Source organism: Homo sapiens, chromosome 22 (assembly GCF_000001405.40).
Source record: "Homo sapiens chromosome 22, GRCh38.p14 Primary Assembly".
In the NCBI taxonomy this organism is placed as follows: domain Eukaryota; kingdom Metazoa; phylum Chordata; class Mammalia; order Primates; family Hominidae; genus Homo; species Homo sapiens.
Window position 1 is genome coordinate 25,349,302 of NC_000022.11, and position 26,458 is coordinate 25,375,759.

Here is a 26,458-nt window from a genome sequence, read left to right on the forward strand (position 1 = left end):
AGCCCGATGGCCACCCCTCCCCTGAACGGCTAGGAGGAGGGAGGGCAGCTGGCAAAGGCCTGCAGGAGCCCAGAGCGTGTTCTTCCAAGTGGAGCCTCTGCTGTGGGAGCCCCAGCCACAGGGTCAGACAAAGTGTCCTGCCCAAGCTCAGCCCTCATCAGCCCTTGAACTTGGGAAATTTGATTCCCTTCAGTGGGCCTCAGTTTCCTCATCTGTACGGGGGGTGATAACAGTCTCTCTTCTTGTCTTTTGATTTGTCTTCCCTGGAAAGAGTCCTCCTGGCTGTCAGGAGGGCTTTCCCCTTCAGATACATTCATTGCCAGAGGAGCTATCCAAAGTGCCTTTATTTTTCCGTTTTTCGTCACCTCGACCATCTTCGCCATCATTTGAATCACTGTCTACAGCAGGGAGCTCAGGATCCAGAGGGGGGCTCATACAGGGCTGTGTTTAATGGCAGGTACCAGAGCTCATCTGGTGAGTACCTTTTATAATATTCCTCAAACTGTCGAACTGTCAGGGGATGAGACCCACTGGGTAAGAACTAATCATTGTTTGCTCTGTTGGCAAAACTTTGTAATTCCCTTGAGGCACCTGGATAACATGTGTCTGCAAGTCAAAATAAGCTCTTCTTCCATGCGTTCCCAGTTTACGTTGCTGTTAAATTCAGCTGCTTTTTTGGCAGCTTTCTTAATATCCTCAGGCACTTTACTGGCTTCAACTTTCTGAGTATTCTGTTGTTGCATTTGGGAATACTCTTTATAATGGTCTGTAATTCGCTGACATTCATTTTCTTGTAGAATAACAGAATACTCAGCATGTTTGGCTGGATATTCTTTTATCATTAAATCAATCACTTCATCACTGCGCAATGCTGTTATACCTAGCATGCACTGAGTTTCAGTAATGACTTTAGCTCTCTCAGGTAGAGTTTCTCCTTGTGAGACAAATCTCGCTCTAAATCTGGATATTTCCTTTTAAAGGAGGTCACACCCAAATATTCACTGACTTGTTATTGAAGCATATAGTATTCTCCTATTTCATCAGGTGGCCTTTTGTACTCTATCAAATTTTCTGCTGGATAGTGACTAAAGCCAAGATCTTGACTTGAAGTTTCATAACTATTAGAACTACCTCCTGAGCCCATTCACCTCCTTTTGGATGGCTGGGTCCCATCATTTGAATTATCTTCATTATCATCCTTCCGGGACTGTGCTCCGGGGCTGGCTGGGTCACTGTCGCAGGCACGCAGCGGGGACAGCTCAGCCCCAGTTCCTGCCGCCATTGCCTCCGCCTCCTCCTGGTGGCCGCTGGGACCCCCCCACACCGCCCCCTCCTCCCAGGGGCAGGCACCGCCATGGCTGCAGCCTGCACACCAGGGCGCCCAAGACTGGGAGGGTGCCTGGTGCAGGCCGGAGGCTGCCGAGCTCCACTTCAGCCCCACCGCCACCTCCTCAGCGCCGCTGCCCCGCACAGCTGCGCCACTGGCTTCAGCACCACCGTGACTCCCTTCAGCCCCTTCGCTCGCCTCAGCCCCGGGGCCGCCTGGCTCCCCACGCCCGGCATTGTACTCGGCCACAGCTCCCCCTAGCTAGCAGCGTGCCCCTAAACCCTTCTTTAGAAGGCAAAAAGTCTTTCTAGGCCGGGTACGGTGGCTCACGCCTGTAATCCCACCACTTTGTGAGGCCAAGGCGGGCAGATCACCTGAGGTCAAGAGTTCAAGACCAGCCTGGCCAACATGGTGAAACCCTGTCTCTACTAAAAAAACTAGCTGGGTGTGGTTGCATATGCCTGTAAACCCAGCTACTTAGGAGGCTGAGGCAGGAGAATCGCTTTAACCTGGGAGGTGGAGGTTGCGGTGAGCTGAGATCATGCTACTGCACACTCCACCCTGGGCGACAGAGCAAGACTCCGTCTCAAAAAAAAAAAAAAAAAAAAAAAAAAAAAAAAAAAAAAAAGGTCTTCCTGTATTTGTCCTGGATGTTTATATTTGCACTATAAATGAAGAAAGAGTGCTAAGCAAACGGGCACTGGAAAGACAGCGGGTGGGGTGTCTGAGGTCAAGCTCAACGGACAACAGACATTTCACATTCACACAAGCATTTCACAAAAGCCGTCATGTGTGTCTACCGGATTTGCTCATTATAATCGTCTATTTTTTTTGAAATAGGCTTGCTCATATTTAATTAGCTTGAATTGTGTTACAATAAATATTATAGTGCTTTAAGAAAAATGTCTGAAACCTTTGAGGCAGGTACAGAGGGAAGGTTTTCCCATATAGGCTGCACGTGTGCATGTTCGGGCCCACGCTACCTTCAGGCTGATGTCTGTCCAGTAGATGTGGTTGCTGGACACATCAAAGTCCAGGGCCGAGGCCTCCTTGACGCCGAGAGCAGGATGGCCACATCGTTGTTGTTGGTCTCGAGGGAGATCCTGTGGATGGCGGCTCTACTGGTGAAGACCAAGAAGGCCTTGGGCATGATGCAGGTCTTCATGTCACTCAGCAGTTCCAGGCCCTAGATGGGGCAGCCAAACCGGGTTGTGTGGGGCGTGAAGAAGCACAGGTGGCTGCACCCCCATTCCTGTCCGCATGAGGGTTGGTTCCTGGAAGTGAACACACAGGCTCCGATCTAAACACCAACAGCCCAGCAGGGAAAGGGGTGCAGCCAAGCCACACAATGAATGCCACCGTGAACCGCACAGCTCAGGGGTGTCAAGCTCAGGACTCACCCCTAGGTAGGGTTCGACCTCACGGCTGGGTTGGGCTGTGATTATCATTCCCATGGCCAGGCTCAACCCTCAAACACACACGTACCTTTTACCTCAAAGCCAGGATGTGCCAAAAGCTGCAACGTGCACAGCTTTATTCCAGCCACATGTCAAACAGGGACAGTAGCTGGGCGTGGTGGGAGAACACCTGGCAATGGCAACCAAGTTCTCCCCTGGTACGGCCAAGGGTCAGTATCAGTAACAGCAGTTCTGGCTCTGACTGGACCTTGTCAGGCTCCAGGCGCTGATCCCAGGGATTCAACCTGTGCGAACTTACTCCATCCACCTTGGAGTTAGGAGCTATTCTCATCCCCATTTCTCATTCGAGGAAACTAAAGTGCAGAGGCTGCTGAAGGGAGCATGGTCAGGAAGTCAGGGAGCAGCTCAGCGAGAATGCCAGCCTGGTGGTCCAGCCTCCTGGCCTGTGCTCCGACCCAGGAAGAACACGGTAACGGCTTGGGGCAGGGACTGGGTAAGTCACCCCTTGGGGTCTCGGCTCCTGAGACTCCCACCTAGGCCCTTCTTCTGATTCACAGACATTCCCAGCAACCCTGAAAACTCACATTCACCCAGCATGGCCAAAGCTGCCTCTTTTTCACACAGTACAGAGTGTGTTCATTTATTTTTGGCCAGTCTGTTAATCTCATCAACCGAAGTGCTGTTAAAACTGGCTTTAATTTAGTATTAAATATTTAAGCCAAAAAAAGAATCCTTTTGTTCATCTCCTTTAGTAAACCATGGGGTGAGAGGGGAGGGGAAAGAAGCCCAATTTCTCAGATTTAAATCACAGCCCCATGGATGCACCCTTTTGTCTTATCTCTGGGGATTATTTTTTGTTCTTTGAACAATCACTCACAGTGGGTCAGTCTCACCTTCCATGGTGGATAGTGAATGCTTTTTTTTTTTTTTTTTGAGACAGGTTCTCACTCTGTCACCCAGGCTGGAGTGCAGTGGCATGATCTCTGCTCACTGCAACCTCTGCCTCCAGGCTCAGGGATCCTGCCACCTCAGCCTCCTAAGTAGATGGGACCACAGGCACATGCCACTATGCCCGGCTAATTGTTTGTAATTTTTATTTTTTTAGTAGAGATGAGGTCTGTCTCTGTTGCCCAGGAGAGACACTCTCAAATTCCTGGGCTCAAGTGATCCTCCTGCCTCAGCCTTCCAAAGTGCTGGGATTTCAGGCGTGAGCCACTGCACCTGGCATTCATGCATTTTTTTTCTTTTTTTTTTTTTTTTTTTTGAGACAGGGTCTCACTCTATTGCCCAGATGGAGGTCAGTGGCGCAATACTGGCTCACTATAACCTCTGCCTCCTGGGTTCAAGTGATTCTCCTGCCTCAGCCTCCCAAAGAGCTGGGATTACAGGTGCGTGACACCACGTCTGACTAATTTTTTTTTTTGTACTTTGAGTAGACACGGGGTTTCACCATGTTGGCTAGGCTGGTCTCAAACTCCTGACCTCAAGTAATCAGCCTGCCTCAGCCTCCCAAAGTGGTGGGATTTCAGGTGTGAGCCACTGCCCCTGGCATGAATGAGTTTTTAAGGAGGCTGGGAAAACTAAATTCGTAGATTCCATCCCCTTTATGAGGACCACAGGGTGCGATGAAGGCTGTGACGGAAGCACTCACTGCTCCTGGGGTCGCCCGCACTGCCTCAGCTCCAGGCCTCTGCGGGGCTGTCCTTTCTGCCCCAACCTGCTCCCTCAATTCCCAGCTCCCTCGTATTTTAAAGCCAGGGACCTAACATCACAGCTAACATCACATCCACCCGACGGGGAGCAAAGCCAACCTGGGCATCTCATCCAGGATTGCAGGCAATGCAGCAGCAAGCATCATGTCCTCTATCCTCTCATCCTTCATCAGCAAAGATTTACTGAGTGCTTCTGACACACAGGTGCAGCGCAGGACCCCAGGCCCCAGCCGGACACAGAGCCCCTGCCCGTGAGCCCCAGGCCCATCCCTGCTGCACCTGGATGCTGCTCTCTCCAGTGTAACTCTATCACCTTTTTAGGAAGAGACAAATCATAGTGCCAAACAACGACCTCCTCGGGGAACGTTCTGCGGATCCTGGCTTTCAGGTGAAAGGTGCGCGTGTGTTGGCCACAGGGGCAACAAGCACAGCCCAGCCCAGGCAGACCCAGGAGTGAGTCTTGAGCTCGGCACCTGTGAGTTGTGCAGCTCTGCCTCCCACTCCCCAGTTTGAATGAGGCAAAGAACTGCATTCAGACGGGGTCACTCTGGGCACGAAGGCTCCCAGCCGGGGCCAGGCACACAGCAGGTGCTCAACAAATGTTAGCCACTTTCTAACCATTGTTACTGATACTCCTAGTCCATAACCATTCCCTAATCAGCACCCTTGGTCCCTTCCCATCTATCCTTAGCCAGATACTGTCACCTTTCCTGTCCTGCCCTTCCCCAGGGCAGGGCACCCCAGCTCAACACTTATGCCCAGGTTTGGAACTGTCACTTCTTCCTCATGCAAGTCTGCAGCTGAGCAACGGCTTGGGGCCCACCCCCCTGGACTCACCGACGACCTTGTCCACGTTCACAGCTTTGAGCCCCATCAGGTCGGGCAGCTGGTCAATGATGACGTCCCGGTTGGCCTTGACCTTGTGTACCCGCTTGATGCTGTGGTGCTGCCAGGCGGTCCAGTAGATGAAGTCCCCCAGCAGGGTGAACCTGAAAATGTGTGGGAGCTTGTCCTTCAGGAGGGTCTGCCTCTTCGTCTCATCGACACTGATCGCCTGCAGAATGGCAAAGATACAGGTCTGGATGGGCCAGGGCCATGCCAACGAGAGCCAACCCTGACCCTGCCTCGGGCCTGAGCTGCCCCAAACGAGACGGGTTCAACACCCAGGAGCCTCAACTTCACCTGCACCTTGCCAGGTACCATAAAACGCCAGGTATCACGGCTCTCCAGGGGTGCTGGATAAATGACGTTTTTTCTTTTCTTTTTTTTGAGATTCTGAGACAGAGTCTCTCCCTGTTGCCCAGGCTGGAGTGCAGTGGTGAGATCTCGGCTCACTGCAACCTCCACCTCCTGGGTTCAAGCGATTCTCCTGCCTCAGCCTCCCAAGTAGCTGGGACTACAGGTGCCTGCCACCATACCCGGTGAATTTTTGTATTTTTAGTAGACAGGGGGGTTTCACCATGTTGGTCCAGGCTGGTCTTGGAACTCCTAACCTCAGGTGATCCGCCTGCCTCAGCCTCCCAAAGTACTGGGATTACAGGTGTGAGCCACCGTCCCTGGCCTGAATTGTTCACTTTAAAATGGTTAAAATCATCAATTTTGTGCTATGTTTATTTTATCACAATAAAAAAAATCATTGGGCTTGGTGTGGTGGCTTATGCCTGTCAGTCATCCCAGCACTTTGGGAGGCCAAGGCAGGTGGATCACTTGTGCCTCAGGAGTTTCAGATCAGCTTGGGCACCATGGCGAAACCCCATGTCTACAAAAAAATATGCAAAAACTAGCTGGATATGGTGGTGTGTGTCTGTAGTCCCAGCTACTCAGAAGCTGAGGCAGAAGGATCACCTGAGACCAAGGAGATGGAGGCTGCAGGGAGCCGTGATCGCGCCACTGCACTCCAGCCTGAGCAACTGAGCGAGACCCTGTCTCAAGAAAACCACTGCTGCAACAGTACAAGGAACAACACCTGTGGCCTGGCGTGCCACAGACACGTGAGTGAGTCCCTGACCTGCTCCCATGGGTAGGGGGGATGCATGAAGGCAAATCATCCTCAGCGGCCCAGAAACATGGGCCTTGCCAAAAAAAAAAAAAAAAACAACATTTACAAGGAGCTCCAACAGGAAATGGCCACATCTGCAGCTTCTAGAGTTTTTGTGGGAGGGGCATCCACTCAGCCCTTTCCATCCCTGGGTGTTCCCCACCCTGAAGGTGCTGAGGCTCCTCCCGCTCAGAAGCAGGGTCTGAAATCCTGCAACACAGACACACACTCGTGTTCTCCATCCCACCCTCCCCTGCAAGCTGCCTGGTTCGGGCCTCCCCTGGGAGCCCTGAGGAGAGCAAAGGTGACCCCGATGGTGACGTCAACAAGGACTGATGAGGCTCAGGAAAATCCTTCAGAAGTTGCTGGGAACAAAGGGAGGCGACTACCCCGAGGAGAGGCACCAATGTCACCTCGATGGGTGACAATGTGCAATGGGGACACATGTAACATATTACTGGCACCAAGAGCACCTCAAAAAAACTGCTCAATAGAGGCAAGGCACGGTGGCTCACGCCTGTAATCCCAGTACTTTGGGAGGCTGAGGCAGGTGGATCACTTGAGGTCAGGAGTTCCAGAACAGCCTGGCCAAATGGTGAAACCCCGTCTCTACTAAAAATGTAAAAATTAGCCGAGTGTGGTGGCATGCGCCTGTAATCCCAGCTACTCGGGAGGCTGAGGCAGGAGAATCGCTAGAACCCAGGAGGTGGAGATTGCAGTGAGCTGAGATCGTGCCACTGCACTCCAGCCTGGACAACTACAACAACAACAACAACAAAAGCTCAATAGAAGCTCCACAGGTGAGCAAAAAGCAAGCTGCCAAAGCACGCCCACAGGACAAGGCCACTGAAATCCAACCACAGTGGCAATGCAGGGCTGCACCCAGCATAGGGAGAAGAGACAGACATCCACAGAAAAACAAAACTGTCTTCAACTGCTTGGGAACGAATCAACAAACTCAGGCCAATGGCTGCCTCTGGCTTCAATGACACTCATGTTTTATGTCTTAAGTGGGGGCAGTGGATATGTTATTAATTTTTTGTCTTGATTTTGTATTGTTTGTGAAATAGTTTAAGGCTCACAGTAAGTGGCAAAAGCAGTGCAGAGGTTTCCCGTGTCCCCTTTACCCAGGCTGGCCTTAAACTCTTGGGCTCCAGTGATCCTCCCACCTCAGTCTCCAAGTAGCTGTGACTACAGGCGCCTGGCCCAATGATAACATCTTACGTAACCACAGGACGTTGTATAGCGCTACCCTCTCAAGGCGTTTTTGTCAGAAAGTACTGTAACTACTTTATCAAGCATTCCGCTTGGCCAAATAGCAGAGCACAGGCACCCATTGGTGCCTTGGTGATACGTATGTCAGGCTGCAGGGGGTGGCCGGGCCTGGCCTCTTAGGAGCCCAGGGACAGCCGGGCAGGGCCAGGCCTCCAGGATCAAATACCTCCATGGGAGCCTCACCTCGATCTTGTCTGTCTTGGCATCTCCCCAGTAGAGCTTCCCTTCCTGCAGGTCCAGGGCCAGGCCGTTGGGCCACCCGAGGGAAGCATTGACCAGCACGCGCAGCTCCTGCCTGTCCAGGTTGGCACGCTTGATTTCAGGGTTCTCTCCCCAGTCTATCCAGTACGTGAGGCTGGAGAAGAAGCAGAAGTCCATGACCCCATGCATCTGTCTAGTTTCTGTGGCACCCCCACTGCTAAGAGCAAGGCCCGTCCCCGAGCCGGCCCCCATCACATGGCTAAATGTTGGGGTCAGTAAATATCGGCATTGGTAAATGCTGGTGTAGGTAAATGTCGGCGTCGGTCAATATCAGTGTTGGTAAATGTCGGTGTCAGTAATTGTCAGTGTTGGTCAATGTCAGTGTTTGTAAATGTTGGTGTTGGTAGATGCTGGTGTCAGTAAGTGCTGGAGGACTGAGCATGCCAGCCACAAGCCCAGTGACCAGAGTCCCTGGGGGCTCCCCTGGGACAGTGGTGCCCACTTCCACCCTGTGCAGGCTTCACTGCACCAGCCCTTAGGACTCTGAGGGGCCAGGAGCTCATCTCCCATCTCAAACGTCAGTGGATAGCAATGACCCTGCCCAGGGTCTAGGGCAGCCTCACATCTGACTGGTGGGCTGAAGAAGCTCAGCACCCAGAGGGAGGAAGGGGCAGAGCGCAATCTTCTGCATACAGCTGAAGGGCTCCCCTGTGCAAAGGACAGGTGACTTGTTCCCTGTGGCCCCCCAAGGAGGGAACCCAGATCCTGGGGTGGCAGCTCAGGGGTGGAGGTTCTGGGGCCTCAGGTCACAGCCTCTGCTTCAGCTGTGTCTGACCCAGCCGGCCAGCCCCTCTGCCTCCCACTTCCAGCTCGGTGCCCCTCCCTAGACCCCATGACCTCACATGTCAGACTGCCAAGCCCCATTTCCCTGGGATCCTCAGACTCATGAAACCAGGGCTAGGAGGGACCTTGGAGTTGGCTTCCCCGTCCCTTCCTCTTTCACAGATGAGGACACTGAGGCCCATAGAGGCAGTGACTTGACCAAGCTCCTGACCTCAGGGCCATGTTCCCTTCACTGCAGCTGGCAACCAGTTCCTGTGCCTCCTCTTGCTAAAGCCCTGGGGGACCCCACTTCCTACCATCATCCGCCCTCCTCGGGGCACAACCCAGCCCGTCAGCCACCGACATGGAGCAGCTCTCTTCCACGTGCCGCCATGCCCTGGGGTCCATGGAGGGCTGCTTGGGCCCCACCATCTGCCTACTGTGCTCCCGCTGCCTGCTGCCTGACATGCTGGCTTCTAGACACCAGCTCACTTGCAGGAAAAGCTCCCCAGCCAGCACACTGGCAACCCCCAGGGCCAGGCCATGAGCGCAGGCTTCATAGCCTGCAAATCCTCTGCCCGCTGGGTACCCTGGGCAAGTCACTTCACCTGAGCTTCGGGTCCCAGAGCCATGAACCTGGAAACACACCTGGTGCCTACTAAGTGCTCCACAGAGAGCAGCACTGCGACTGACCTCCCAGCTCCTCCGGGACTTCCCATCGGCACCCCCAGCTCCACTGCACCTCCTCCCTCAGGGTCTGCCCATTTAGTGTTCTGGGTTATGAGCCCCCAGGAAGGCCCCTGGCTACAGCAATCTGAGCCGCTGTGGGGGGGGTCTCAACCAACCGACAAGCTCTCTGCTTTCACAGACTTCTACGCTGGAAAGCTGGAGCCATGCTGTCAGCCCCAGCCACACACCTGCCACCTCCTGCTGTGTGACCCTGGCCAAGTCCCTGAGCATCTCTGGGCTTCACTGTCCTCAACTGTATAACTACCTACCCTCCTGGATGAAAAGACCCATGGTGTGCAAAGTGTTAAAAGAGGCCTGGCCTGGCCAGGCATGGTGGCTCATGCCTGTAATCCCAGCACTTTGGGAGGCCAAGGCAGGTGGATCACCTGAGGTCAGGAGTTCGAGACCAGCCTGGCCAACATGGAGAAACCCCATCTCTAGCAAAAATACAAAAATTAGCCAGACACGGTGGCAGGCACCTGTAATCCCAGCTACTTGGGAGGCTGAGGCAGGAGAATTGCTTGAGCCCGGAAGGCAGAGGTTGCAGTGAGCCAAGATTGTGCCATTGCATTCCAGTCTGGGCGACAGAGTGAGACACCATCTCAAAAAAAAAAAAAAGAGGCCTGGCCTGTACTGTGGTCAGTGTCACAGAGGCTGCCCTTACTACCACTACTGTCGTCCTGGAAATCACCCAGGTGGACTGTTCCATTCTACAGATCAGGAAGCTGAAGCTAGGGGAAGAAAGGGCTCACTCCAGGTCTCCAGGGCTTTCTATGCATGGACCCAGCAGCAGCACCGGACCACCTGGGTACTTGTTAGAAACCCAAGTCCTCAGCCCTGCCCTGGAGCTCCTGAATCAGCACTCTGGGGATGGGGCCCAGCCGCTGGTGTTTTAACAAGCCTTCCTCCAGGTTCTGATGCAAGACAGTGTTCCAGAATGACTGGTCCAGGTCAAGCTCCCTCTGCTTGGCCTGGCCCTGGCTCCAGGCCCCACCCGTCTTACCCCATCTCGGGATGCAGTGCAATGGCACGGGGCTCGTCCATGTCCTCTGACACCAGGATCTTGTGGGAGGTGCTGTTGAGGCACGTCACCTCGATGTGTTCAGTGCCTGTGTGGGTCCAATAGAGGCTTCGGGCCACCCAGTTGACTGCGATGTCATCGGGGTCGTTGATCTTGGTGTTGATCAGCGTCTGCGCCCCAGACCCATCCAGGTATGCCCTGCGGATGGCCCACACCTCGTCATCCGTCCAGTAGACGTGGCCCTCCATTGGGTCATAGTTGATGGCGATGGCATGCTGGATGTCGTCCAGCTGCAGCACGATGTCGGTGAAGTCCGGTGTGTCCAGCGAGACCCTCCATTGGTCCGTCTACCGGGCCAGCAGCAGGACCTCCTTGGCTCCTGTGGGGACAGGTGCAGTGGGCCAGGCAAGGGAAAAACTCAGCCAGGTCCCCAGGGCTCTCCTTGCAAAGGCTGGTAATGTTAGGTGACACGCACCCAGCCCATGCTACGTGGTCACTCGTTCATCCTCATGACAGGTCTGGGAGGCTGGCACTGTTTTCTCATTTTATAGATGAGAGAACTGAGGCACAGAGCCAGGCCATCAGGCTTCAACCGCTGGATGGGAGCTGCCTCACAGTCCCCCTTGTCTTCTGCCAGCCCCTCTCCTGGCCACACACCAGCCCCAACCACAAGTCCCACCGGGTACCGAGCTGAAGACCCACCTGCTGGCCGTGCTGCTCAGCGTCCCCAGCACACCCACCCCACCTTGCAGGGGCTCACCCTTCCCGCCCAGCTCAACGCCACCTCATCCCTGAAGCTCTCTCCCTCCCCTCCACCAACGAGGGCAGCTTCAGGTCCCAGGACCGTGCCTGGGGGGGCTCCCAGGCAGGACCAAACGTACCCATCAAGTAAATCACCCTCTTTACTCACTGCCCAGATGCTCCCGGGTCACTGAGATGAAGGGAAACCCTGGTTCCGAAGCCCAGGGGCACCAAGAGCTAACACAGTTTTGTGGCCACTTGAGACACCAGGCAACACAGGTGCAAGATGAGAAACACCTCCAGGGCATGCGTTCTGGTCACGGCTAGACCCAGGGCCCTGGCTCCTTGGATGGGGCTCCACCGTGGCCTCCACACAGCTAGGCCATCAGAATGTAGCGATGACCCCCAGTAACTCAGACCTGGTTTCTAAACAGGGTCCCACAGAGAACAGGTAAGGCACTGTCCATGCACTTCCAACTGCGTTTCAGAACCACCCCATGAAGCAACCACCCCACAGCCACCTGGGTCTCTGCTGCACCCCAGGCCCAAGCCTGCTGCTGGCTAAGCAGGTTGAGGCCAAGCCTCTCCAAGCATGGGTGGACAGGCTTCAGGGTGGCACTTACGCAGGTGGATGAGGGGAGAGCCTAGTCCTCTCAGGATGTCCCTGCAGACAGGCTGGACACAGCTGGGGACAGGAGGATGCTGAGGTGATTCTAGTCTCAAAAACCCCCTCTCTAGCTGAGGGAAAGATTTGCCGGACCTCAAGATTCGCACATATTAAATCCCCAAGGAAAGTTCTCTGCTCTGGGCATCTGTGCCTTGCCAAACTCACCAGCGTGGCCTGACAGCGTACGGCCGGCACAAGAGAGGCTCGACTCAGGCTCTCTCGGCAGCCACAGCAACACTCAAGAGAGCAGCTGAGCAGCAGGGCCCAGGGATCAGCTGTGGACGGGGTCCTGCTGCTCAGGCCCAGCAGCATGTAAACCCAAAGACCCCCCACCACCCACTCCACAGGACACCCCCCCAAGCTTTCACCCATGGCCCTCCAGTGGGCTTCTAAGTTTGGGGGGCAGGGGCGGTTACAGGATTCTCTTATGAACCCCCTGTGGCCCACCTTCTACATGCTCCTGACCCCCCAGGGCCCGGGGATCCACACACAGTGGCATCAGCATTTCTGATTGTGTCCTATGACCCCCCAGTTGGGATTTTTCAGAGTTTCCGGCAGAAGTTGCATGTGGAGACCCATGCAGACTCGGGGCCCCCAGGGTGCCCCATAACCCTGACACGGATCCTTCTGAGGCTGCTGGGGTCAGGATGTGGCTCCCTCCCCGAGTTAGGGCATTGTTCACTGATTTGTTCCAGACCTTTCTGGTTTCAAGGATGCACAGAGCCAAGAAGGTCAGGGTCAGAGATCCCCCCTCAACATCATGTGGCCATGCCCCCACAGTCACAATCCGCATGGGGGCCCGGGGCTGAGCCAGCCCAGAGCATCCCTCATGCCCTGGCCCCTAGACCTGGCCCTGCAGCCAACTGCCAGGTCTCCTGAGTGCCCTACCAGGCTGCAGCCTTCAGCCTTCAAACAACAGTAGCCCCCTGCGCCCAGGCTCTGGCTGTTGCCAGGAGGAATGCAGAGACCTGAAGAGCTGTTCCAGGATCCCGGCGTCCAGCATTTCAAGGAAGGACAGGAGCCCCTTCTGAATCCTGCTCCAAGCCCCCTCGTGCATAATCCGATTCATCCACTAGAGGGCGCCCAGGTGATGGTGACAGCGGCACAGGCCCAGGGCTAGGGAAACGGAGGCAGGCAGGCTGGGGACAGTGAGGTGGAGGCAGCACTCAGAAAGTGCCCCAACTGCCTGGCTACAATGGAAATCTCTGAGAGCCAAATTCAGATCTGGTCAGAGGCGTCTGATTTGGTGTGTATTGGTAGGGGGAGGGGGATCTCTGAATTTCAACAAGTTTTCTCCCTCTAGGCTCCACTCCCAAAATGTTCTGTTGACATTGGACCTGTCCTTCAAGGCCCAGGTCACACGGCACCGCCTCCTCAGGGAAGCTGTTCCTCCCCACACCCCGGTGGATGGCTGTCCCGTACCCCCAGTCTGCCCCATGGCCAAGGCACCACCCCTACTGGCTCACTGGGGTCCTGGCAGAAGCCCTCTGCTCTCCACAGCCCCTAGCACAGCCCCACGTCCACAGCAGCGCTACATCCAGGGATGAGCAGGGAGAATCTGAGACCGAAACCTCTGGGGCCTGCCCGTGCTTGGTGACCTCGGGCAGGTTCCTGCCCCTCTCTGGGCCTGTCTCCTCATCCACAGTGAATAACAGCCAGGGCTGATGGTGCCTGAGTCCCTGTCTAGCTATGACTTAGAGGGGACCATAGACTCCACGAAGGGTCCCTGCTTAATCAGCCACGGTGGGGAGATCACAGTCCTGGAAGTCCTCCAGGGCTTGGCTGGGAAGAGCCCTGTCCACACGGTGTCTACAGAACTTTCCAACGAGACTGCCAGGCACAGCGTGAGACGAATCACGCTTGACCTCAGCAGTGTGTCCATCATGGCCCCACAGAGAACGCCAGTGCCAGACAGAAACCGGCATTTGATCCCAAAACACATTCCAAGCCTGCCTTGCTAGCTAGTTCCCTCCGTCGTCCTAAGAAATCACTAAAGTACGCTAGGCGCAGTGGCTCACGCCTGTAATCCCAGCACTTTGGGAGGCCTAGGCAGGTGGATCACCTGAGGTCAAGAGTTCAAGACCAGCCTGGCCAACATGGCAAAACCCTACTAAAAATACAAAACTATGCTGGGCTTGGTGGCGCACTCCTGTAACCCCAGCTACTCAGGAGGCTGAGGCAGGAGAATCACTTGAACCCAGGAGGCAGAGGTTGCAGTAAGCTGAGATCGTGCCACTACACTCCAGCCTGTGCACTGGAGTGAGACTCCGTCTCAAAAAAAAAAAAAAATCATTAACACAATTTTCACACACTACCCCTCGAGCTATGAGGATGCCCCATCCTACTGACAAGGACCCCAATCCTCAGAGAGGGTAGGCTCCCGGCCCAAGGACACACAGCTGCAAGAGGAAAGCTCACTTCACTTCGCTTCCTCAAATACTTCAATCCCAGGAGCCAGCACATCCAGGAAGCGCGTTTGTCACTTGATGCCTGGCTGCCTCCATCATCCCACCAGTATCTCTGTAGGAACCTACTTCAGGCCAGGCCCTGGACCAGCTGCTAGGGAAGGAGAGGTGGATGAAACAGACTTGGGATCTGCCCTCTGGACGCCCTTGGGGTCACAGGGCAGAGACCTTAGGTGAACGACACCATCCGTGAATACACAGCCACAAACTGTACTGTGAAGGCAGGCTAGGGTTATGGGGTACGTGCAGGGGACCTGCTGAGATTGAGAGGTCTGTTCTCCAGCTCAAGAGCCTCTGGGATTTAGGTAGCTGTCACCATGTGGCAGGTTCTGGCGGGGCGTCCCAAATGGGCCTAGAACCTTCAGGGACTGAGCACACCCAGCCCTAGCCCTCTGTTAACTAGGTCAGCAAAGGGCCTCCAGTTCCACCATCAGGAACCCATTCTCGGCATCCCATCCAATTACTTAGGAATAAATCAAACCTCTGTGGTGAAGCAGTCCTTTCACTGCTGGGATGAATCTGTAGGTGTTTACTGACTCCAGGGAGGAGTCTCTGACACGCCTCAGGCTACAAGGCCCCTGAGGTTTTTGAATTTTGCAGAGATTGTGACACCTGGGAGAGAGCCAGGACCCAACCTATTTGCCTGAAGGTCTGAGTGAGCTGTGAGCAGTACAGAGGTGACCCCAGTGTGGTGGGGACTCTGTCCAGCCAGGCTGGCAGGGAGCAGCTGCAGAGAGAGTCCCACCAGCCTGGGCTCTGCCAGATGCCTGCCAAGGCTGGTGCCCACAGCTGGCCTCCAGGAGGTTGTGTGTGTAGTGAGGTCCGGGCAGCAGCCATGGCCACAGGTAAGCAGGCCTGGGGTTGGGAGGGGCAGGTGCAGGGGACTGTGTTGGGCTATAAAGAAGAGAGGCCAACTCCTTCCCTGGGACCAGCTACAGAGCCTTGGTAGGAGTTTTTCAAACACCAAGGAAGTAAATTGTTTGGAAACTAACAGTTTGGCCAAATGGTTTTCTTTGGGGTTGTTTAAACAAACAGCCAGCCCCACAATGTTGCCGGAAAGTGAAACCTTCCCCTCGCCCGAGCCTCCTCCAGGCGGGTTTCTGACCTCTCCCTTCCTCCTTGCACGCATGCAGGAGAGAAGGGCCACATCCCTTCCACGAGCCAAGCACAGGGCAGGGGCAAGGGCCAGGCAGGGTACAACTTCCTGGTAAGCAGCCTTGTCCTCAAAAAGCAGTCCTAAGGGATGGGCCAGTGTCATGGACATGTCTGTCCCTGCCCACCTCTGCCCCCGACCACATGGACACCCAGAACCTGTGGGGGGCTGCAGTGACACATCGCCGCCAACCAGGTGGCTTCTAACATCAGAAATGTACCCCGCCGCCAAGACCTGCAACCCAGAAGTCAAATGTCAAGACATCTTCAGGGACAGACTCTCTCTGAAGGCGCCAGGGGAGGATCCTTCCTGGCCTCTTCCAGCTTCTGGAGTTGCAGGAAATACCTGGGGTTCCTTGGCTTGTGGCCGCCATCACACCAAGCCCTGCTCTGACTCCATGCAGCCTTCACCCGAGTGTCAGTGTCTGCTCTCCTGCTCTCATGAGGACACCAGCACCGTGGATATAGGCCCCCTACTCCAGGGTGACCTTGTCCTTGCTTGATTACATCTGCCAAGACCCTGTTTCCAAATTAGGTCACAGACACAGGTTCCAGACGTCAGCATATCTCCTTCAGGGACACGACTGGACCCATACCCAGTGGGGAGCGGCGGGTAAGAGGAGCGCTTCAGTGGAAAGCCAGAGGCAAGTGTGCCAGGCAGGGGGGCGGCCTGGGCCACTGCACGGAGGCCAGAGAGAGGGTGGCCCGAACCTATCGCCAGGGCTGATCTGAACGTGGAGGCCCAGCGCCCACCAGCATTGACGTTGCCCCGCCCGCCACGGCTCTCTGCTGAGGCCCCAGTGCGTGCAGGATGCTGGTGCAGCTCCGAGCCCAGCCCTGTCCTCCAGGAAGCCTCAGGCAAACAGCCCGCCGTGCCTGCAGCAGATCCCAACCACAAAAGCAAAGAGACTGCCACCTTCACACAAAAGCCGGGAAGGAAATGCGCTCAAATGTCAATAGTGGTTATCGTAGGACGGGTCCTATCCTTCCTTCCAGCTGTCGGACAGAGGTCAGCAAGCACTCTAGGAAGGGCCAGAGAGCAAATATGTTCGGTGCTGCGGCCTACACAGTCTCCTTCCCATCTCTTCAGCTCTGCCGCCGCTATGGGAAGGCAGCCTGCCTCAGACAACACAGCTGGGAGCAAACTTGACAGACGAACATCTGTTAAAACTCTGCTGGGTGAGCTGTGGCCGGTGGCCCACAAATCCCCAAGCCACACCCCAGCCTCATCTGGGCACTGCCGGGAGCACAGCCTAGCCACCCTCTGGACACGGCCCCGAGAGCCACCAGCCTGGGCACGTGTGGCCCAAGTGGCATGGCGCACGCCACTAAGCCCACTGCCCAAAGGCCCCCAACCAGGAGGGATGTTCGGGCGACAAAAGTCAAAGCAACAGGGGCATGTTCCACCGAGGATGGGGCTGGAGGGGTGGCAGTGAGGGACAGCAGCTTCCAAGGACGGCAGTGGCAACTCCCAAATAAGGCCCCACTCCTGCTGTTTTTAGCTCATTCCACATACTTGGAAAAACATGGCAGAAACCGAAGCCAGCTGCTGCCTCGGTCCTGGGGTGGTGTGGAGGGGCTGGGGAGGCCGGGGGGCCCAGGCTCTGCACTCGACTGCTGGCGATGAGAGTGACTCTGAGCTGCAGAGAGCAGCATTGCAGCCGCCGTGGTCCCACTGAGCCCTGGCCACGCTGGGCAGCAGAGGGCTGCTCACAGGACATACCTGCCTTGTCTCATGGGGGCCACTTCAGGAGGGGCGGGAGAGCCAGGACACAGAGCCCAGGGCCAGCAATCACCCTGCAGCTCCAGGGCCATGTGAATAGTGCCGCCCTGCAGGCACACAGCAGCACAAGGACCCCCACACATCCCTGCCTCTAGGGGGCTGCCTGTGCACCCCTAGGAATGCTACTCCCTGTCCCCTGGGTCCCGGCATGACCACCCTCTCAGCCCCTTACTTGGGGAAGGCACCCGACTGCCTACACCAGGCTGGCTTTCATTTGCTCAAAATCAGGAAAAAGCAGAATTCAAGACATCACAGAAATGTCTTCGCCTCTAACTCCACGAAGCATAAACGGTCAGACACCCAGAAGAGAGTCCCAGGGACCCTTGAGTCTCACCTGAGGCTCTGGCTTCAAACCCCAAGATGTTTCCAGCTGTGCCAGCGCCGCCCCCGACAACTTACTGCACACAGGCCTCCCTTGGGAACTCGCAGATTTGGGCCCCACCTCCCCACCCTGTTCCTTCTCGTGGACTGGGTGGGTTGGGGTGGGGCTAGGGACTCTGGATGTGTCATAAGAGTCTGAGTGGTCCTGACACAGCTGGGCCCTGCCCCCATGCTGGTCTTCGCCCCACAGGAAAGGGAACCACATGCCTGGAGCGCCCAGCACAGCCCCCTCTGTCCTCCCCAGGCTGCCTGCCAGCAGTGTGAGCTGTGCTCCCCATTGCCCCATCAGCCTCCCCAGCTCCTCCTGGCAGCACCCAGCCTTGGAAGCTACCTCTGATTGCAACCGTCGAAGGAACACTCGCTCTCTCAGCACTGACCCAGACGGCCTGCACCATCGCGCTGCTCGGCACGGCCCGCACGGCCATCCTCCAAACCCTGTGTAGTGGGGAGCATAATCACCCCTTTTACCAATGGGGAAACTGAGGCACCGAGAGGTTAAGTCACTTTCACAAGGTCCCAACACAATGACCAAAAACAGAAAGCCAGCCCGCAAGTGGAACTAGGTGCTCCAAGTCCTGGGTCTGCCTGACACCGCATTTCCTCATCACCACAGTCCTCGGCAGGCTCCCAACTACAAACTAAGCCATGTCCTCCATCCTGAATCCTCTCAGCCTAAACGTCACTCCCAATGCCTCCCTCCGGAACAGGCACAAGTCCCACCAGCACACCCTCCTTCGTTATCTGCATTTCTGCCACCCCAGGGCCAGCTCCGGAGCCCTCACCACACGGCCTCTATCCTTCACCCCCGGACACTGGACCTCACCAACCCACAGCCAGGAGATCCGCGTGTGACCCCAGGGCCTCCTCTGCCTGACTCTGAATTCCACTGCCCAACGTGACACCTCGGAAGGCTCCCTGGGCACTGGCAGCCCTCCACGGGCACTGCGCCTTCCGGCAAGCTCTGACATCCGGCTGGTGAGGTGCCCTGCACGAGGCCTCTGCCCACCGGGACCTCAGAGTCGTGCTGTCAGCTACAACAAGCAACAGAATTTCACATTTTCTTCATGTTGCCCCTGTGTGAGCAGCTTCTATCTCCACACGGTTTTCAGTCGAATCGAGGTGAGGTGAGGCGTCTTCACCTCACCTCACCGTCCGCAGCCATGCTGCACAGTTAATTCATGCCCGCCAGGCACACAGCCGCAACACAAACGGGCGCCTGCCGCTTGGAAGGCCAAAGAGGAACAGAGAACAGCTACTGTGCTCAGGTGACAGGACTGTGGTCTTTTAACAAAACGTTTTCCTTTAATGTGATATTTTATGGCAAGGAATAAAACCTGGAGGGCAGGACGTTTGGATACTAACGCCCCAGGCTGCCATGTGGTCTGCTTTGTGAGGTCTGAAGCCCAAGCCCCATTCTGGCCCCACCCACAGATCCGTCTCTGACTCACCAACTTCAATGCCAGGCTCCGCCTGTCCTCCAACCAGAACATGAGTTCCTCATGGACAAAGCCATTTCTCACCCATCTCCATCTCCCTCTGGATTAAGAAATATGGAAAGATCTTCTAGAACCACCTCAAATTTGCAGAGAGCCACCTTGGTGACAAACCCTTGAAATGCTTCTGAGAAGAGTCTAGGTTTCTACTCAACTCTAAAACCTCTAGAAAACTCTATTTCCCCTTTTCCATACCAGCTGCCCCTGGAACACTTCAGCTTCAAAAGGGTCCAGGGCAGGGAGACAGAGAAGCCAGCATCCATGTCCAGCACTGCCCGCTTAATTAACCGGAAGCCCCGTGGGGCCCATCTCCAGGCACCCCTGAGGCCAGGCTGGGGAACCATGTTTACAAAAAAAGTGAATTGAAACGCTCACATCCTCATGCAAAACAAGACTCCCGGTTGCATCCTTCTGTCTCATCGAGGAGCATTGTTCTCTCTTTGACAGAACACCCAAACACAGCATCTGGAGCCAAAGCAGAAAGATTGAGGCTCAGAGTAAACCAGTCCCCGCACTGGCTGCATGTGGATGTTCCCAGCCAGAGTCCCACCCAGGCAGGGCCTCTAAATGACACAAAATGTTTCTCTCCTACATGCCTGTCATGCTCCGACTCAGTTATGTGTAAAAGTGCCTCTCACGGCTGGGGGCAAAAACAGTTTCCACAAGACCAGACAAAGCTGACCCTTGATGGCGGAGTCTCCAGGGAGTGTGGAGCTGCATGCTCAGCCCCTGTGGCCCTGACAGCTCTGGACTGGACAAGCTTCCAACAGGAAGGGCAGGGCGTGCTGCTAGTCCAGCGGTCCAACCTCACAGGTGTCTGTGGTGTCAGCTCCATGCCACAGAACCACCAGGGCTGGGGCCAGAGCCACCAGGCCCCCTGCCAGCCTGCAGGGGCCTCCTTCTCTGAGTAGCCCACCCACCTTCTGTGGGCGCAGGCAGCCTCTTCTAATCACCACAGGGCCTGCCCCAGCTGACCCCCACCCACCCCCTTGCAGGAAAATGAGCCCTGAGGACTCCCCGGGGCTGCTTTGGGCCTGGACATGGAGACTGGGAGTGACATTTGCAGAAGGAGCGCAATGCCCTTGAAGGGCTCAGCCACAGGCAGCCAGTCCCCAGGGCTCAGAAGACCCAGCTGTCAGAACCCTGGGAGCCAGCAAAGAGCCAGCGGTTCCACCTAAGTCTATGGCCCCTGCCTCTACTGGTTGGAAAAGAAATCAACACCCCCTTACTGGCTCCCAATGACAGCCCACTCCCCCGGGTGTGGGAGGACTCTGGGACAATGCAGGCAAATCTGGACCCTGAGCGAACCTGCCCCGGCTCTCACGGGCCTGGCACCAGCCACAGCACCTAAGGCGCTGGTCATGGTGACAGCATGACGGTAATAAGTGCATGGACAGTGGACGTGGCAGGTGAACACTGGGCACCCACTGCATGCCAGGCACCGTCCACTCCTGGATGAGCAATGGCCCTTTGCAAGCCAGGGTAGCCTGGGCAAGTTATTTGAGGGTCTCCAGGCTTGTCCAGCTGTGCAACTTCACTGAGCCATGAGTCTGGGGTTTTATCAGGGCCCACACCCGTTCCTGGAACTCTGAGCCACACAGGGACCCTTAACAAAAGCTCCCTGTGCAACATGTTCTCCTGCCTCAGTCTCCTGAGTAGCTGGGATCACAGGCACGCCACTACCGCCTGGCTAATTTTTGTATTTTTAGTAGAGACAGGGTTTCACCATGTTGGCCACCATGTTGGCCAGGCTGGTCTTGAACTCCTGACCTCAAATGATCCTTCCCCTCTTGGGGCTAGGCGTCGACTGCACGATCTGCCTTTTGTGGGGGTTGTGTCTATCCCCCACTCCTTCGACAAATGTCCATCCCAGCCTTGCTTTGACACCCCAAGAGCAGAGATGGTGACCACACCTGCTTCCAGCATGCCCATTGCTCTCCCAGGGCAGACATCCTCAACAGACGCAACACAGCGTTTAGGCAGACATCACCAATCGATGGTGGCAACAGACACCAGGCCCTGCTCCCTCTAACTCCAGGGCCCTGCCCACCCCCAAACCACAGCAGTGAGACTCAGAAATGGCAAAAACACAAAGAGAAAAGAAACGCCCCATAGCGGGAGGACAGCTAAAAGACATGTCTTGATAAGATATCCTTCAGGCACTAGGCCGGGCGCAGTGGCTCATGCCTGTGATCCCAGCACTTTGGGAGGCTGAGGTAGGCGGATCACCTGAGGTTAGGAGTTCAGGACCAGCCTAGCCAACATGGTAAAACCCCATCTCTACTAAACATACAAAAATTAGCTGGGTGTGGTAGCGGGCTGAGGCAGGAGAATCACTTGAACCTGGGAGGTGGAAGCTGCTGGGAGCCACTGCACTCCAGCACGGGCGACAGAGCAAGATTCCGTCTCCAACTCAAAAAAAAAAAAAAAAAATTCTTCGGACACTAAAACTCATGTCTTTGATACATATTTACCTCCTGCAATCGCAAATGTTTCTGCAATGCATAAGTGAAATAAATACCAGGAAGCCTTATGGTTCGATCACACGCACAGACACACAGTCACATACAGAAAAAATGCAGGCAGGGCTGGGGAACAAAAAAACAAAAGAGAAGATAAAATGTGGAGACAGACACACCAAGAGAGTAAGAGACCACCTCCGGACCTCCGTTTAGCTTCTCAAACACACAGAGCAGGACCCGTTACAGAATTTGTGCAGACCACTGCAAAATGGAAGTCCAGAGAGCCCCTTACTCAAAAGGTAGGAATTTCAGGTCAACAACAACAGAGTTCACCTCATGTAACTACACAGGTCGCACAGCCCATGAAGTCGGTCCCGACACCAACATGCTCCTGCCTCAGAGCCACCACATGTGCTGTTCCTTCTTGCCTTTCCCTCTTTTAGTCCTTCAGATCTCAGGCCTCCTGGGAGAGACCTCTGACCTGCCAGCTCAGGTGGCCACACCTGAGTACAGGAGTCTCCAGCTCAGCCCCTGCTGTGTCCCGTACCAGATCCAGGTCTGTCCTGACTATGTCCATCTGCGTGCCGGCATGCTTCCTGACATGGCCCCCATCACACGTGCGCCTCAGGGCAGGGGAACAGGCCCATCTCATTAACTGCTTTCTTCTCGGATATTTTATGAAATATTTGTGAATATTGGGGAACGTATATGCTCCACCTTTTTCAGATTGGCCAGGATGAGCTGCCTGTTTGTTGTTGTTGGTTTTTTTTTTTTTTTTTTTTTTTGAGACAGGGTCTCATTCTGTCTCCCAGGCTGGAGTACAGTGGCACGATCTCAGCTCACTGCAACCTCTGCCTCCCAGGCTCAAGCAATTCTCCTGCCTCAGTCTCCCAAGTAGCTGGGATTATAGGCCCGCATCACTACTGCCAGGCTAACTTTTGTATTTTTAGTAGAGACAGGGTTTCACCATGTTGGCCAGGCTGGTCTTGAACTCCGGACCTCAAATGATCCACCCGCCTCGACCTCCCAAATTGTTGGGATTACAGGCGTGAGCCACCGCGCCTGGCCAAGCTGTCTGTTTTAAACCCATGCCACGTTCCAGTGATGCTCTCTCCCCTCCATCCCCCGGGCCTGACTGTGGTGGCCACTCCCTGCCATCATGAGCCCCTATGTCCTCACTCTTTCCCTTTCCAACAGGACTTTGACCGACACACTGCTGAACGCAGGGTCCAGCTCCGGCACTGAGTTCAGCCTCTTCTCACCAACAGACAGACAGGAAGGAGAGAAAACAAACTCTGAGAAGGCCAAGGTTCCCAGGCAGCCGGCAGGCCAAGCATCCTTCTCCGCTAAGGCTTGTGTGGCCGAGGCACCCCTTCCTCCGGGGAGCGGGCAGGGTCCTGAGGCAGTCTGCAAGGGAGACCAGGGCTTTGCTCCACCAGGGCCCAGGCATGGGGCAGCAGCAAACTCATGCCTCTGGGAGCCAGACCCCACCTGCTAGAACTTACTATGCCACCTGCTAGAACCTACCATGCTACCTGCTAGAACCTACTATGCCACCTGCTATGGGCAACCCCAGGCCGGTGACTTGCCCTCAGCCTCCTCAGTAAATGAGGGGCTGATCCAACCTGGTCAAGCTACTTCTCCCCATCAAGGGTCTATAATCCACCCTTAACCTGCTTGGTCCAAACCCCTGGTGTCACTGGGTCACTCACGAGGCAGCTCATCTGGACTCCTCCCCTGGTTCCAGTTTCTCTCTCAACATTGCCTTTGAGGCTGAGGTGAAAGGTAAAAGCGAAGGGCCCCAGAGGCAACGGAGGAGCGGGTGTCCAAAACACTCACCCTTTCTAATGCACGACTCCCTCGTGGACTCACTTGTGCCATCTCCCCCACCCACCCAGCCCCAGAGCCCAGGGTGTGAGCACCAGGGGCCCGGGATTCTGTCTGCACTGCGGGATCCCCAGTGCCTCGGAGCAATATCAGCACGCGGCAAGTGCTCGACAAACGCCTGCTGAACGAGCAAATGGATGGACGACCGAATGAATGAGCAAACAGATGAATGAATGGGGTGCTGTCCAGAACCATGAGGACTAGGCTGCCTGAGACCCCATTTCTCAAATTCTCCCTCTCACCACTTGGGAAAACAAGACGCTTGGTGGAGGAGAATCTCCAACTGTCCCCTGCAGTAGCTGGTGCAGCGGACAGACCCTTTGATGAAACAGCCATGTCTTCATTAAAGATGCTCTGCTCTCAGAAAGAGAAAGACACGAACGTGGAAAGTCCTCACCTGCCAGGGAAAGACCCCTGCCAGGGAGCAGAGAAAAGATGCACCCACCACGGACGCCACGACCACACACACTCTCCCTGGCCGCTGCACACAAATACAAACCCTAACTGGCAAGAGCAGAGGGACCAGGAAACTGTCCCTAGAGTCAGGAACCCCATGTGCTCAGACAGCAGTGTAAGCAAGATTTCTCCACCCACTGGATGCCAGGAGAGTCCTCCTAGGGGGCCCCTACACCGAGACTCTGCCCCCCTCTTAGGACTGTCCCTGAGTTGGAAGCCAGCCCACTTGGAAGCCCCCTGCCCTCCCAAGTGGAACACTGGCACAGGAAGCAGGCCCTGTCCCCACCACCTTCTGCAAGCTGGGCCCCATCATGCTACAGAAACGGGGAGACCTGGTCTCAGGGATGGCGCTTTCCTGACATCTCTTGTTACCCCCTCGCTCACCAGGCCCTAGGGTCAGCCCCAGAGGCCAAACCAGCTACCCCAGGCCCAGGAGCATCCCCGAAGGCGAGCTGCATCCTGAAAGTGTGTGATTTCCCGAAAGGCCCACCCCGAACCTGACACCTGGAAAGAAAGATCCTCAGCCGGTGCCGCAGAGGAGAAGAGCCATGCCTCATTGCAACACAGTCCTGGGGAGCACCAAGTGCCTGAGGACCAAGGCGGAGGGTAAAAAAGTGGGAAAACATCTAGAGCAAAAAACAAAAACAAAACAGGATTGACCTCCTAGGCTCAAGAGATCCTCCCAACTCAGCTTCCTGAGCAGCTGGGACCACAGACTTGAATCACCACATTCGCCAAGTGGATCATTTTGAACGGGTTGGCCGACGCTCCTTCTGGGGCACCCCCGCTGGCTGCAGCCCATTGCTGCCAGGCCCCGCCCCGTCCCACTGCCTCACTGGCCTCACATGCCCTGCCGTTGTCCTGCAGCTGCACACCCATGGGGCAGGCGCACATGTAGAAAGCCTCCCTTAGGGACAGCAGACACAGGTGGGAGCAGCCACCATTGTCCTCCTCACAGCGAGTGTGGACTGGGAAAACCAGGACAGAGTGAGAGAAGGTTCCAGAAAAGGACCATCACTTATTTCTGAATCAGTCGCATCCTGCCTCGTCTCCTGTGACAGCCCCTAGTGTGTCCCTCTGCCCAAACGCCAGCCTCAAGTGGCATCAGGGACCTCCCCGCAGGCACCACTCCACCTACCTCATCGCTGGCCCCCTCCACATTGGGCCCTCAGCCTGGCCAGACGGTCTGCAATTTCCCCAAAACCAGCCGTGACCTTCCTGGCCACCCTCACACCCAGATGTGACCTGCCCATGGAGTGGCATCCTCACCACCTGCTCCCTCCCACCAAGCTCCTATGATTAGAAAACACTCCCCAGCTCCTCGAGGCCCATAAGGACACCCCTTTGCAAGGCTGCCCCCCACACTAAAATGGCAGGAGTCAAGACCTGCCTGCATGGTAGTGATGGCAACCCCAGAGACAGTGGGCTCCTGGGCAAAAGGCCTGTTTTGTCTTTGCAGCTTCCACAGGATCACTGTCCCTCTTGCCAGGATGGCCAAGCTTGTCACTCTCCCAAGCCCTTCTATGACCAACAGCAATTGAATGGAACTCAATAATGCTTCCAGCACCTCATTCTAACCAGGGGAAAGCTGGGGTGTAGCAGCCCCAAAATACGGAGTTAACTGGAACAACAAACAAACCAAAATGAACCTCCCCCTCCCTCACACTGCCCCAAGTGTAGATGGGTTTTGTGACCATGACTTTCTCAACAGGAAACAGCTCCAGAGAGCCCCACCCTCCTGTGTCCTGCTCTGTGAACAGCTGCCACCCGAGTCCCAAAGTCCTAACCTTCCGTAATGACTTAGCCAGAAATCTCCATCCCTGGTCCCTGTGGGGGTGGGCCACTGTCCCCAGAGCCACAGCCCCACTGTCACAGAAGCTGGTGCATTTCCCCATCAGGGACTCTGTCCCAACCCTGCGTGGCCCCCAGGCTGAGAACTGCTGACTTTGAGCAGGTTATTCATTGATAAATATGCAACTTGCAGGGCCAAGCATGGTGGCTCACATCTGTGCCCCAGCACTTTGGGAGGTCAAGGTGTGAGGATCACTGGAACCCAGGAGTTTGAGACCAGCCTGGGCAATGCGGCAAGATCTTGTCTCTGTTAAAAATACATATACATATATATCTATCTTAGTATGCATATATATATATATATATATATATATATATATATATATATATATATACATGCAACTTCTTCTGGGCCTTGAAAATGAGGCGACCTCCCTTGGGAATCCCCTTGCCACTGCTGAGCCCTAGAACAGCCCACACAAGCCCTGCAGAGGGGTCCTCTGCAGACCCGTGCCCCCTGGCCAGCCACGCACTCTGCACACACCTCCCTCCATTGCAGCAGGCACCCCTTAGAGAGGGGGCCCCCCAGAGCATGGAGTTTTGCAGGGAGGGGCCGCCCACCTCCCACCCCACCCAC

General features: G+C 55.5%; 2 pseudogenes across 9 annotated transcripts in view, besides 2 other annotated features; both read right to left on the reverse strand.

Moving 5' to 3' along the window:
- On the reverse strand, nt 243-1,308 carry PHF10P2 (PHF10 pseudogene 2; annotated as a pseudogene).
- The window catches only part of LRP5L (LDL receptor related protein 5 like (pseudogene)), a 53,991-nt pseudogene continuing 29,649 nt past the window's right edge, over nt 2,117-26,458 (reverse strand). Inside the window, exons 4-8 of one of the 9 annotated variants that reach the window (XR_007068032.1) lie at nt 11,019-13,067; nt 10,526-10,922; nt 7,954-8,125; nt 5,295-5,511; nt 2,117-2,513 (exon numbers count right to left, since the gene is read on the reverse strand). The product of XR_007068032.1 is annotated as an LDL receptor related protein 5 like (pseudogene), transcript variant X9 (transcript). Of the gene's footprint in view, nt 2,602-5,294; nt 5,512-7,953; nt 8,126-10,525; nt 26,129-26,458 lie in introns of all 9 variants that reach the window. The other 8 variants (XR_007068028.1, XR_007068029.1, XR_005228030.2 and 5 more) reach the window with 8 other exon arrangements.
- Nucleotides 10,631-11,130: an enhancer, noted in NCBI's record as "H3K4me1 hESC enhancer chr22:25755899-25756398 (GRCh37/hg19 assembly coordinates)". NCBI's record gives its function as "activates a minimal SCP1, AML or CMV promoter by ChIP-STARR-seq in primed H9 embryonic stem cells {active_cell/tissue: H9 hESC(primed)}" and the evidence as "EXISTENCE:reporter gene assay evidence [ECO:0000049][PMID:30033119]".
- Nucleotides 17,642-18,468: an enhancer, noted in NCBI's record as "H3K4me1 hESC enhancer chr22:25762910-25763736 (GRCh37/hg19 assembly coordinates)". NCBI's record gives its function as "activates a minimal SCP1, AML or CMV promoter by ChIP-STARR-seq in primed H9 embryonic stem cells {active_cell/tissue: H9 hESC(primed)}" and the evidence as "EXISTENCE:reporter gene assay evidence [ECO:0000049][PMID:30033119]".